At 39.0% G+C, this 14,520-nt stretch overlaps 1 gene segment (V, D, J or C) and 1 further gene, besides 5 other annotated features; both read left to right on the plus strand.

Annotated features, from left to right (window-relative positions):
* Positions 1 to 14,520, plus strand: part of TRA (T cell receptor alpha locus) — a 930,229-nt gene that overhangs the window by 167,130 nt on the left and 748,579 nt on the right.
* Positions 6,799 to 7,998: an enhancer, noted in NCBI's record as "BRD4-independent group 4 enhancer chr14:22264004-22265203 (GRCh37/hg19 assembly coordinates)". NCBI's record gives its function as "activates an origin of replication core promoter dependent on BRD2, P300/CBP, MED14 and CDK7 cofactors, and independent of BRD4, by STARR-seq in HCT116 cells {active_cell/tissue: HCT116}" and the evidence as "EXISTENCE:reporter gene assay evidence [ECO:0000049][PMID:35650434]".
* Positions 8,386 to 8,431: a sequence feature (TRAV8-1 leader sequence).
* Positions 8,386 to 8,853, plus strand: TRAV8-1 (T cell receptor alpha variable 8-1). The segment is given in 2 exon segments: positions 8,386 to 8,431; positions 8,559 to 8,853. Coding segments are annotated over 2 exon segments (341 nt in total), but the record flags the coding sequence as incomplete, so codon positions are not given.
* Positions 8,559 to 8,569: a sequence feature (TRAV8-1 leader sequence).
* Positions 8,861 to 8,883: a recombination feature (spacer).
* Positions 8,884 to 8,892: a recombination feature (nonamer).

Below are 14,520 nucleotides of genomic sequence, written 5' to 3' on the forward strand. Positions count from 1 at the left end.
TAGACTGGATAAAGAAAATGTGGTACATATCCACTATGGAATACTATGTAGCCATAAAAAAGAATGAGATCGTGTCTTTTGCAGCAATGTGGGTGGAGCTGGAGGCCATTATCCTAAGCAAACTAAGGCAGGAACAGAAAAAATAAATACCACATGCTCTCACTTACAAGTTGGAGCTAAACAACAAGAAAACACAGACAAATAAGAGGTGGACAACAGACACTAGGAATTACTTGAGGCTGGATGGTGGGAGAAGGGAGAGGATCAAAAAACTATCTTTTGGGTACTATGCCTATGATATGGTTTGGCTGTGTCCCCAACCAAATCTCATCTTGATTTTAGCTCCCATAATTCCCACTGTGTCATGGGAGGAACTTGGTGGGAGGTAATTGACTAATGAAAAGTGTGGGTTTTTCCTGTGCTATTCTTGTAACAGTGATACGAACAGGAGGCAGGGAAATACTGGGTAGAAGAAGGTGCTTCCCTGGTAAAGGCCCCACCCTCTAGACTGGAAACCGTGGCCCTAAATGAGAACAGTTATCTCAGTTTTTTCACCGAAATGTTGCCTTTTGGGCCCAACCTGCCCCCCTATCCTGTGCCCCATATAAACCTCAGACGTCAGCTGGCAAAGGGACAAGCAGCTGAACATTGAGAGGAGAAGAAGCAACTGAGTGTCGGAGACTATGGATAGACATGGCTTAACTTCAGACGGCATGACTTCAGAGGGGAGCCTGGCCAGAGATGGCTGGGCTTCAGGGAAAAAGATCACCTTCTTCCCACACCCATCTCCTTTCCAGCTCCCCTTCCACTGAGCGCCACTTCCATTGCTTAATAAAATCCTCCACATTCATCACCTTTCAAACCATTAGAGTGACCTGATTCTTCCTCGACGCCGGACGAGAATTCGAGATGCACTAGGTGCAGGAACCCAAAAAGGCTGTCACTCTGACTCTTCACTGAGATGTTTAACACTTAAGCTGTCCGAAGATGGCAAAGCTAAAAGAGCATTAACTGTAACAAACCCCTAAATGCTGCCGTGGGGCCAGAGCCCAAAAGCACTCACCTCAGCCCTGGCACCCACTTGCCTACGTGCTCATTTCTGTGAGGGGTTCAGCACAGCAGGTTTGAGCAAGCGAAGTTCATCCCTGCAGGCGCTGAAGTGGCTGGCTGGACCCAGAGCTGGTGCACTCCAGTTCCTGCCCACCAAAGGGTCAAGGGAACTATCCCATCTCAGTAGCGAATAAGTCTCACGAGATCTGATGGCTTCATAAAGGAGAATTCCCCTGCACAGACTCTTTTGCCTGCCACCACGTAAGATGGGACTTTGCTCCTCCTTTGCCTTCTGCCATGGTTGTGAGGGCTCCCTAGTCACGTGGTACTGTGAGTTCATTAAACCTCTTTTTCTTTATAAATCACTCAGTCTTGAGTATGTCTTTATTAGCAGCACGAAAACGGACTAATATAGCTCATCACCTTGGTGACGAAACAATCTGCACACCAAATTCTGAGACATGCAGTTTACCTATATAGCAAATCTGCACATATACCCCTGAAACTCAAATAAAAGTTTTAAAAAGTCATGACTACAACATAAATCACCTGAGGGAACTTTTTAAAAACACAGCTTCCCCAGGACAGTCTCATAGAGGTTATGTCAGTATGAATAAGGTGGATCACAGAATCTGCATTTTTACTATGCTCCCTTGCTGATTGTGATGCAAAGCTAGGTTCAAGAACCCATGCTGTAAGATGCTTCTGAACATCAGCTACCATGTCTCCATGTGGTAGAAGAGTGTTTGAACTTGCTTTCCAGTCTTTGGAAGCAAATCAACATCACCCATATGTTTAATCCCCTATGTGAAAATAATTTATGTATGTACATGTTTTTATATGCCATCTATACTAAATGCTATCTACCAATCATCTATTTATCTACCAATCATCTATCTATCTATTATCTATCTATCTATCACCTATCTATCTATCTGTCTGTCTGTCTATCTATCTATCTATCTATCTATCTATCTATCTATCTATCTATCACCTATCTATCCATCCTATTGGTTCTGTTTCTCTGGAGAACCCTGACTAATACAGACAGTGTCCTGGGAATAAAATAAGCCTCTGAATAAATAGCAACAGGTGTTCTTCAGATTTGAAAATGGTCACCTGGCAGCTGAATGTGACTTGAAAATGAGGTCCAAGGTAAGCATGTGGCACTATCTTTCAGGAGAAAACGTTCCTTGCAGTGTAGTCCCTTGCCTGTGAGGGGGCACAGCTTCTGAAAACAAATACATCTCCTGCTAAAATCTTAGGTTCATGTTCAGCATTTTATTGAGATGACAATATTTTTTATGCTATGCAGTTAAGAATTGAGGATGCCAGAGGTTTTAAAGATGGAATTTTCACCAGGTCCAGCGATTACAACACTCGTAATGTTTGGTAAGTTTGGGGAAAATAATATGCCTGTTAAAATTTGGATTTTTAAAATTTGTTATGTCAGTATAATAACCACAATTTTGTCCAATTCAAACTCAGGGTGATATGCAGCTTTTTATTTCTGAGGAGGAAGCAGTAGAGACTCAGGGACCTGGATAGAAAGTTAGTGGCCTTCTCAGAAGGAGCTCTCCCTATTGTAAACTCTTCCTATGCCACCATGGTGAACCTACCCTTTTCTGGTTATGTTCAATATCCTGGTGAAAGTCTGCAGCTCCTCTTGAGAACTGCAAAGGAAAATGAGAATGGAAGCAACAAAGACTTTGAAGTCACATATCACGAAGAAAAAAAAAACACCTTTCAGTGGGAGAAACTTTGAGCTTAAGTGTCAGATGTGGCTGCTTCATGCTGTGCTGTGAGCCAAACACACCGAGTGGGGCTGCAGGCGAGCTGAGACAAGGTTCAGTGGCCCAGGCAGGACCTTGCTGCTGAGGAGCTGCTGCATGACTCTTGCTGGTTTAAGGAAAACGTACTGTGGTTTGACCTTCAGACACTCTAGCAGATGTAAAGATCACCTACATCGACTCTAAGGACACAGCAGAAGAACGGGAAGTGAATATGGCCTGAGCATAACTCTCCTTGTAGAAAGAAGAAACAGGGTCTGACATCCTTTTCCAGAGATCAGTGAAGTAAGCTCTGTCTTCTTCTTACTAAGTTCAGCCCTGTGGCTTTGACCAAGGGCACCTAAAGAAATAGTGATGTATAGTATATTGTTTTCTCTTTAGAGATGCAACATGAAATATGTAAGGTTGCATCTGCATAATGTCTCCCTGGAAGAGGGAGGGTTATTTCCTAGAGCACATAAGGAAGAACCCCAACGCAACTAGTTGTTAAAAAAGGAGAAAATAGAAGGGAAGAAGGAGGAAAAAGAGAGTACCACATGTAAACAAAGAATGGACTGAGAGTGACATTTGTCATAGTTTGTTTTGTTACAAATCAAATAGCAGACATGAAATGGTGCCCTCAGAAAAGTGAAAACAAGCACATAATTTGTTTGTGGCTCAAGAAGACATGAAGAAGTGGCTCACGTCCAAATCCTACACACATTCCTTTCCCCCTTCTCTCCTTCTCACTATATATTGGTTAGCTGGCTTAGTAAAGCAAATCCTAAATTGAGACAGATGGGTGGTGCCGTAGAGCCTGATGAAGGAGAACACTCAAGCTCAAATTCTTCATGGCAGTATAGCTCAGGAATGGTGGATGGGGGAAATGCTATAGCTTCCTCAACTCCTTGTGAGCCTTTCCTTCTCCTCAAGGAGAAAGAAGTTTAAGGTAGCCATGTGGGTAGGGGAAGAAAATGGAGGAGAAAGAGTACGACTCTCTGAATTGCATTGCAGATATACCTGAGGTCTCTGTAAATATTGGAGTAACTTTTCTTGTCTAGTACAGGCATTTAATGAATATTCATTTTGATCCATAAAAATGAATTTTATTTTCAAGGAGAATGGTGCTTGTTAAGACAGGAGGATGATAGAGCCATTCATGGTGTCTCAATAGCTCAGGGACTGAAGTGAAGCAACTGTAAAAGTCCCTAAAAATGTTATTATCAGCGAAGGGTCCTTATCCTCAATCTTCCCCTTTTCTCTGTTTCCCTTCCTAAGTTTTTTCTAACATTTTCTTTTATCACTGACCCTCTCTCTGAGTCTTATGAATGAGCTGAAGTAATAACCCCTCTCTAATTTTATTTTCTACCTTTTTTTTTTTTTTACCAGTTCTGCCTTCTTAGTTTACATTTTTAAAATTCTCTTTTAATAAAATATTACATGTGCATGGGTAAATGCAAAACTTGAAAGAGAGAAAAACTGTACAATTTTAAAAAGTTCCAGATTTTTGGTTGAACATGGTTGATTAAATATTCATGTTTATTCTCTGCTCCCTCCTGAGGCCCTAGTGAAATGCTAATAAAGAAGTTCAAAGCCTGTATGAACATACAAACACAAAGTGAACTGAAAAGATGGTGACAGCACAAGAGAGATCAACATAACGTTGAAGGCGTTGAAAGCAAATGGAGAGGTGACAAACTGGTTTAACCAAGAGAGAAAACCTGTGCCTGTAGAGGGGAAAGCTGAGAGACAGCAGTCCTGTGCATTCTGCAGCATTCTGGAAATGCTCAAGAATTAGAAGCATCAATTTTGATGGGGAAAAAGGCATCAGGTGTGGAGGGTAGATGGGAAAGAAATAGGAAGATTAATGGAAAGACTAGCCTCAAGAAGGAGCAGTTGGAACCCAGTGTAACCCTCCTATGTCCTTTGCCACACTGTACCACAGGCTGCAAGCTACCTCAAATCTGGTGGAAGATTAAAGGTTGAATCTGATTATTTTGAACTAGACAGTCTCTGGATTAGAGAATACTAGAGATATCTGAGGATGAAATGAGGTGCCATAGGCAAAACAGGGGGATTAAGTGAAATTCTATATTTCTAGTGTTAAGTCCATCAGCTCCTGTGCCCAATTCAGTTTAAAATTCTAGTTTTCCAAATAATTTTTCATCAGAATCTAATATTTGTTGATGCTGATGAGAAATCTAATTCCAGTGGGTTACCCCAATTGGAGATTTTTTTACTTTTATCTCCATACACATCTGGAATTTTTTCCCAACTTATCCTTGGTGTTCTAGTTTTGCTAGAATACGTTTAAGTGTAAGTCTTTTTAATTCAGTGATAATCACACTTTGCGGGCTATTTTCATCTGAATATGCAATGTCCTTCAGTTGTGGGAAAATTTGTTCTATCACTTCTTTAGTAAATCTCTCTCTTCTGGTTCTTTTTTCTAGGACAAATATTATTTGCTTGTTTTATCTCCAAGATTGATTTTCTATGTAGTAGTATATTTCAGTGCATTTTTGACTCTTTTTCTTCTGTGTCCTGAGAGATTTTCTCAATTTTGTTTTTCAGACCATCTGCTGATTTTTATAAAGTTTTGGCAACAATAGTTTAGTTTTTAAAGAGCTCTTTGTGGTTGTTGAATTTTTGTTGTTGATTCTTTTAGGTTACATGTAACTAGATATTTTTGAACGTTCTCTTTTATTCTTAGAATTTTGTTTCCCTTTGCATCAGGGTTTCTGATTCTTTTCTTGATATTTATATTTTTTGCTTTATACTGAGGCCTAGTCCTCCCTGCTGTCCCTTCATATTATAAGAAGGAAGGACTATACAGCTACAGGTATTTCCTGTGTCATTGTTTATGTAGGTCTGTTTTCCAATAGGTTTCCTTGAAGATGTGATTTAGCTAAGGACCTTGAGATAGGAAAATTAGCCTGGATCATCCAGGTGGACTCAGTCTAATCACATGGGTTTTTAAAATTGGAGAAACATTCCCTGCTGTGGTCAGAGGGAGACGTGACTATGGTTGAATGATCAAAGAGATGAAACATTGCTGGCTTTGAAGATGGAGGGAGGGGTTGCAGACCAAGAAATATGTGCAGCCTCTAGAAGTTGGAAAACAGACTCACTCCTAGAGGCTTCAGAAAGTTATAATGCTGATAACTTGATTTTAACTCAAAAGAGACTCATGTTGAACTTCTAACCCACAGAGCTGTAAAAATAACTTTGTCTTGTTAAGACATCAAGTTTGTGATAACTTGTTATAGCAACCGTATGTCAATTTGCAGCTTTTTATTTAGAATATGTGAACAAGGGTTTGATGCTGCTTTCAACCTCCTCACTCTTGAACCCCTCAAACTCCTCCCCACTCTCCACCAGTGCACCAATGCCAGATTGAAGGGTTACTCATTACAATTTATATTGTAGTCTCTCATATTTGTGTTTTTTCCCCATGACTTCCACTTCTGTAGTTAAGTCATCATCTCCTTTACATTTTTATTCTTTTATCAGTGGGAATTTTGGAAAGATAGGCAGTGAGCAGGTATGGTCATCTGATATCTGGAATTAGAAGCATTATTCATGGACTTCTTATAAGTGAGAGACAATCTACAGGCAAAAAGAAGCAAGGCAATGAGAATCCCAAGGACAGATTTGATTTCCTGTTGCTAGAAACAATCACAGTCCCAGAAAAGATGCTTTCTAACTTTAGAAAAAGGTCCCTATTGCCCTGAGGAAAGGCAGCGTGTTTCTCTCTTCTCATTTTCCCTAAAATTGATCTCCTGGTGTGACAGTTACTCGTTTAGCCCCAGGGTCTACAGGCTGAAGTGGGAGGGAAGAAAAGGCCTCTTTCAGAAGAACAGGCTTCTTTCAGAAGGACAGCCTTGCTATTGCCACAATCAACACTATCTTGTTTTACAAGACTTGACTCATTTATGTAAAACTACTGGTTGCCTATCTATGTCAGATTTCATGATCAAACAGCTCACATATCTTTTTTTCTTTTAGATGTTTTTCTTAGCTCTGGTCTGCTGGTGGTACTCCTTCTTGGATTCCAGGGTAAATGCAAATGTATTTTTACTCTGTCCCTAGTTCCTTCAGAAATTATTTATATTTTACTTTGCAATGCCTTCATCAATCCTCTCAGTTTTTTCTGTAGATACTAAAGTCTATCAATGATGTCTTGATGATGTAGTACCCAGAATTGGGTGTAATACTCTGGTTATGTTCCCAGCAAATAGCAATGTTATTTTACTCTCTTATCTGAATATCATATTATAATTTTTGTTGATCTAAAGCCACTGTATCTTTGTAATTCTGCTTGAAGAAGACAAAGATAATCCTACTTTCTTTTCCTAGATGAGGGCTCATGTTCTAGGTGTCAGGCCTCTGAGCCTAAGCTAAGCCATCATAACCCCTGTGACCTGCACGTATACATCCAGATGGCCTGGAGCAACTGAAGCACCACAAAAGAAGTGAAATAGTCAGTTCCTGCCTTAACTGATGACATTCCACTATAGTGATTTGTTCCTGCCCCACCCTAACTGATCAATTGAACTTGTGACATTCCTTCTCCTGGACAATGAGTCTCAGGAGTTCCCCACCAGAACACCTTGTGACCCCCGCCCCTGCCCGCAAGAGAAAACCCCCTTTAACTGTAATTTTCCACTACCTACCCAAATCCTATAAAACTGCCCCACCCCATCTCCCTTTGCTGACTCCTTTTTAGGACTTAGTCTGCCTGCACCCAGGTGATTAAAAAGCTTTATTGCTCACACAAAACCTGTTTGGTGGTCTCTTCACAGATGCGCATAACACTAGACTTTTATTTTGTACATCTGATCTTATTTTTAATTTTACCAAAGTAGGTATCTCCACATCCTACCGCAACCTCCTCTCAACCTGATGCTCACTGCAACAAGACCATTTAAAGCTCAGTCAGAAGAGTTGATCTAACTATTTTTGCTTAAAGGATGTCTCCACAGCTTTTATACAAAGATACTGAGGGACTCCAAAATCTGCTAGATTCATTGTGAGATCTTTTTCTCTGTAAATTCCTCCTCTCTTTTACAGTCCTCATTTTTCATTGAGGCTAGGATTAATGTAATATACTACAGAGGGCAACACAGTACAGATTAGGGAAGAAAGAAATGTTCACTGGAAGTTTTTGACATGTCTCCAAACAAGGAAAGCACAGGTTCACTTCTTGTGGGGAGTCTGTATCCTCAGTCCTGAATCTGGCCTCCAGAGGGTGACGTTGCACAAGGGACAGATGGCTGTTTCCAATGATGATCAACAAACACTTTCTGCTCAGCCCCTTCTTCCTGCAGCTGGCTTACTGAAGCACCGTCACTGGAGTTCTTTGAAGATGGGACAAATGGAGAGAATCAAAGATTGAAAAGCACTTAAGATTATCTCAGCAGATTTTGTATTCTTACCAAAACAAGAGACTTGCCTAGCCCAACCTTCCTCACGCTCGCTATTCTCAAGACCTGGGTTCCAGCCACTTTCCTACTGGCCCCGAGGAGAATTTCCAAAGAGACGCCTGCAGTGTTTCCACAGCTCAGCCATGCTCCTGTTGCTCATACCAGTGCTGGGGATGATTTTTGCCCTGAGTGAGTAACATTCTATTATGGTCTCTAGTTCCACAGAAGTAACTGTTTTCTGATTCAAATCTTAGTAGAAATACTTTTCATAGACAAGTCTGCACTATTTTCACTGATACAACATTGATTTTTTCAGGAGATGCCAGAGCCCAGTCTGTGAGCCAGCATAACCACCACGTAATTCTCTCTGAAGCAGCCTCACTGGAGTTGGGATGCAACTATTCCTATGGTGGAACTGTTAATCTCTTCTGGTATGTCCAGTACCCTGGTCAACACCTTCAGCTTCTCCTCAAGTACTTTTCAGGGGATCCACTGGTTAAAGGCATCAAGGGCTTTGAGGCTGAATTTATAAAGAGTAAATTCTCCTTTAATCTGAGGAAACCCTCTGTGCAGTGGAGTGACACAGCTGAGTACTTCTGTGCCGTGAATGCCACAGTGTCTGGGACTGCAAAGGGAGCTGAACACAAACTTCCTAAGGTGCTAGGGAGAATAACTGCCTCTGAAAGATTTTGGATTCTGTCACAGTAGAAACCATGATGTTAGTATTTTTAAAAAAATTTATTTTTAATTTTTATGGATACATAGTAGGTGAATATGTTTATGGAGTACATGAGATATTTTGATACAGGCATTCAATGCATAACAATGACATCACGTAAAATGGGGTATCCATCCCCTGAAACATTTATCCTTTGTGTTACAAACAACCCAATTATACACTTTTAGTTATTTAAAAATGTACAATTAAATTATTATTGACTGTAGCTACCCTGTTGTGCTATCAAATACTAGGTCTTATTTATTCTTTCTATTTTTTTGTACCTGTTAAACATCCCTCCTCTCCCCGACCCTCCCACTATCGTTCCCAGCCTCTGGAAACCATCCTTATCTTCTACTCTCTATCACTATGAGTTCGATTGTTTTGATTTTTAAATCCCACAGATAAGTGAGAACATGCAATGTTTGTCTTTCTTGCCTGGCTTATTTCACTTAGTGTAATGATCTCCAGTTCCATCCATGCTGTTGCTCTAACCCAAAAGCATGTGAGACGGGTCTCAATCAATTTAGAAAGTTTATTTCCCAAGGTTAACAACATATCTGTGACACAGCCTCAGGAGGTCCTGACAACATGTGCCCAAGGTAGCTGGGGAACAGGTTGCTTATATACAGTTTAGGGAAACATAATACATCAATCAATACATGTAAGATTTACAGTGGTTTGATCTGGAATGGCAGTACAACTTGAAGGGGAGCTTCCAGATCATAGGTAGATTAAAAAATTTTCTGATTGGCAATTGTTTATCAATAGAAAGCAATATCTGGGGTATAATAAGGGGTTGTGGAGGCCAAAGTTTTATCATACAGATGAAGCCTCCACATAGCAGGCTTCAGAGAGAATAGATTGTAAATGTTTTTATCAGACTGAAAATATGTGTTGATGTTAATGCCAGTCAGCCCTTAAATTCCAAAAGGGAAATCCAAAAGGGAGGGGGGTATAAATGAGGCATGTCCAATCACCCCTTCCCATTGTGGCCCGAACTATTTTTTCAGGTTAACTTCGGAATGCCCTTGGCTGAGAGAAGGGGTCCATTCAGATGGTTGGAGGCCTGAGAATTTTGTTTTTGGTTTATATTACAAATGACAGGATCTCATTCTTTTTTGAAGCCATGATGTTCTTATTCCACAGTACAGAGATGCTCAGGGACTTGCCAGGTGAGTGTGAAGTTGCTATATTTTAAATGGTTGAGTATGGAAATTGTGACATGGCACAGAGTTTTGCTTTTCATTCACCATTTTATCTTTCAATATCCAGAACAAAAGGTGAACTTCCTTTTGTAAGCATATCTTCTTGCATACTTACTGTTCTTTCAACTTGGTAATTTTAAAGTAGTTTCCCTGGAGTCAGCACTCTGTGCTGATTATTTTCTCTCCTTTTTAAGTGCTTCATTTAGGAAGGAGGAGATTTATTAGGATGCTGGATGGCTTAGAACAATGGCATGCTCATGTACAGTCTAGTAACCTTGTCAGGAAAACTGAAGAAAGGAGAGTGAATAACTCAAATTCCTTAGTAGTTTTTACAGAACTATTTTTTTTTTGAGACAGAGTTTTGCTCTCGTTGCTGAGGCTGGAGTGCAATGGTGCGATCGTGGCTCACTGCAACCTCCGCCTCCCAGGTTCAAGCGATTCTCCTGCCTCAGCCTCCCAAGTAGCTGCAATTACAGTCATGTGCCACCTTGCCTGGCTATTTTTTTGTATTTTTAATAGAGAAGGGGTTTCTCCATGTTGGTCAGGATGGTCTCAAATTCCTGACCTCAGGTGATCCACCCGCCTTGGCTTCCCAAAGTGTTGGGATTACAGGCATAAGCCACCGCGCCTGGCCGTAAAGAACTATTAAGGAGGAACAAAATGCTAGGTCTACTTGGAAAGTCCTATTTATTTTTTGTTTTTCCCACTTATAAAGACCAATTCTTATTCTTTTGATTCTTAAATTCTGCAAATCCACATTATAAATCTTCAAAATTGATGAAATAGTAACTTTTGCCAATTCTTCCAAATGATGTTATTTTAGTTTTTACTCTTATTCCAGTTTCATATGGTTGTACAGTTGGAATATTAGAAACGAATTCTTATCTGTTTAACACTGCCATAATTAAGTGTGTGCAAAATTTAGCAATGTCTGGCCCCTGAAGACATTCTAATTAAGTATTGTAATGGGAATAAAAAGGTCGAAGGGCATGTGATAGATATATGACTTCTCCTGGTTAGGAAGAAAAAAAATGTACAAACACTTTTTAAGCTTCTTACTTGAAGCCTTTAAGGTTAATAATGACTTGAAGAAACGTAAAGAGAAAGAGGAGGAGGAGGGTTGGGCTTTTTTGTTGTGTACCTCCTGATGCTGTCATGAGTAAGAGGAATAGGAATTTGAAGATATAGATAATAATAGTGGATTGTTTCCAGTGATTTACCTAAGCCAAAGGGGACACCAGTAGGGATCAGCATTATTTTTCAGGTCATAGTGTTATGGCTATTTGTGGTATATACCTTTGGGGGATTTCTGGAAATGAAGTAAGATATATAAAATTATTGATAAGAAATATATACTTATTTAAAGTCTTGTTCTTCAGATTATATTCTCTACTGTCCCCAAGAGACTGATGATCTTCATAAGACTTAAAAACACAGCTAAGTCCTGTGTTCCAGAATGACTGCAAGCAGGTACTTTATACACTACATATGAGAAGGACAAATGGCAATTTCTTTCAATTCCAAACTGAAGCTCAGTACCGAGGAAATATAACTGCTGGCACCAAGAACCTCAAGCACCTGGAAATGCATTTTCTGCTCTCACACCAACAACCTTGTTTGAGATGTCAGAGTAGTTCTATTGATATGATTGTTTTATAAATGTAAATAACTTTATATAATATAGATATTAAGGAGAAGGTAGAAATATTTAACTTCTAACACAATTATATTTGCCATATGAGGAGACTGTAACATTTTAAACAATATTATATTATTTCTATCTCTTGATATCAATAAATACATAAATGTAAAGTTTCAAATTTTAAAAAATAAATAAAACATTACAGACAAAATTGCCATCTCTTTTATTTTTTTCCTCAGTTTTAATGCCTTCATCCCTCTCTCAAAATAAACCTATTATGAACTTTTTTCTCAACTCCATGTTTTCATATTTCCAAACATAGATTTTTTAAACAATCTGTGGTGCTGTGTTTTGTGTTTTTAAAATTTACATGAATGTAATCCAATTGTATGTGTAATTGTGAAACTTGATTTCTTCCCTCAAATATTTTTCAGATATAGAAAAATTTATATATGTAGTATATTTCATTTCTTTTAGCTGATACATACTATTCCATTTTATGGATATACTATATGTCCCTTTTGATGCACATTGGATTGTACATTTACAAAGCTCAATAGGCCACGTAAGTATTGGTTTCCCTCATACCCTGAGTGTTTTCAAGAGGAGTCCTTTCAGCTGTCTATACAGTTCACAGATTACTCTTTTTGCAATGCCTCCCTCCCCTCCTCCCACGTCAAGTGCTAAGGTGCGAGGGAATAAGACCGAACAGGCCATCCAGACTTAGAAACCCCATACCCCAAATAGAAACCGGTATCTCCTGTAACAGTTATAAAAGTCACTGCTCCAGAACTATGACATCTTAAAAAGTATTCACAGTCCATTCACAGTTCAGATGCAGTTTATCAGTCAGGATCATTTTTACCATAACCATCTTACTTGGTAATCCAGCTGACGTTCTACCTTTATTGGATTTCCAGAAAAATAGAGATTAGAAAGTTAATCTAATTTTTTTCATGTGGAAGGAGAAAAGATTTTGTTAATCCTTTATTCAATGAGTGTTTCTGATCTTTTATTATAAAAATTCTACAAGGAATACAATTATGTTTCCTTATACATAGATATAGAATGTTTTATGTTATACACCTGGAAGTGGCATTTGCTGGGTTATATGATTCACATCTTTAACAACGTACTTGCAATTGCCGAATTGCTCTTGAAATATTCTTACCTATTTTTCCCTCATTAGTAGCACAGAAGAATTCCTGTCTCTTTACACCCTTGCAAACACTTATTATTTCTTATATAACATCCTGCCCTCTCTATCTGTGTTTCCTGCATTTCTCAAGTAAAGTACGTATAGTCATTTTTTCAAGATTTGCTTCTGGAAGAACCCAATATAAGAGATCTGGTACAGAAGTGGTCATAGAGAACAAATACATAGAATGAGATTTTGGAATTAAATTATTCATGGCCAGAAGGGAACAAGGATCCCATTATTAGCAGTAGGTGCAGTGGTAATAGAGATGCTAAAAGATCATAGCATCACAATTATTAATTGTGGTGAATTGGCATGGGATTCATGTGTAAGTTGTTGCAGTAGCTTATGTGATATACTTAGCATTTGAGAAGTATTGTGATAATGGTAATTTTATGTGCTATGGAGCTGGCTATTTATTGTCAAGTGCCATCAGGGAAGAGCAATAACAAAATGGAACCAGCTAAGACCACTGCATATTTCAACATCTGTATTCAATGGTGATCTTTGGAAGACAATGGCTGCTGCTTCCCATCTGCCTTTCAAATCTTGTGTAAATGCTCTTTTGTATTCAGAAGGGGATTCTGGGCACTGTATTTTCCAGTGCAGCTACATCAACAATAGAACAATCCAACATAGAAAGCCAAGAGCCAAGTTCACTGGTGTGCTACTTAGTTCACCAGTGTGCTATGTTGCACATTGTCAACTGGGCTTCTTTCTCGTCCCCTTTAATATATTCCCTTGCTTTGCTAGGGAAGAAACCCAAACTACAATTCACACAATCCCTTTCATTCACTTAGTTTTAATTCTACAAATGAGAGGCATTTGGGAATAATATCAGGCAAGTAGAAAAGAAAGAGAAACCATTATTCTTCTGTAGGGACTGTATGCAGGCAGCTCAGATTACCAGCTGTGAGGACTTTGTTTGACTTCTGCGTTTCTTCCTAAGAATCACTCATTTTGGTGTCACAGGCAGCTGGATGATGCATCACACCTCAAAATTTCCTGTAATCAGTCTTTCTCATCTTTGTTCATTAGCCCCTCCAATGGTTGTATGTCTAATTTTGTGTATTAAATCTTACTTTTTAAAAGAGTTTTAAAAATAACTTTTACTTTAGAAAGTTAATATGTGCATTATAGAAAGCTGAGAAACACAATAAGCAAAGAACAAAGTCATTCACCATCACAAGCACTTTATAGTTTGATGTGTCCTTCTGGGTCCTGTGTATGTATATAGACAACATCCAATTTTATGTGTGATTGAGATCATACAGTATATATGATGTTTTTTCACACATCATGAATATTTACCAGTTCAAAATCCCAAGGCTATATGAGCATTTTGATAACAAGGAATATACCACATCAACTCAATCTGTTAGAAAAAAAGTAATCCTGCCTTTCTTGGGGACAAAAATTTCAAAGAAGACAAAAATGGAAACAGGCCTCTAGGTTAAAAGTACCGTCAGAGTTACAATTAAAATACCACATTCCCTTTAATGGTCAATTTAA

The sequence above is a fragment of the Homo sapiens genome, chromosome 14, assembly GCF_000001405.40.
Source record: "Homo sapiens chromosome 14, GRCh38.p14 Primary Assembly".
Classification (NCBI taxonomy): domain Eukaryota; kingdom Metazoa; phylum Chordata; class Mammalia; order Primates; family Hominidae; genus Homo; species Homo sapiens.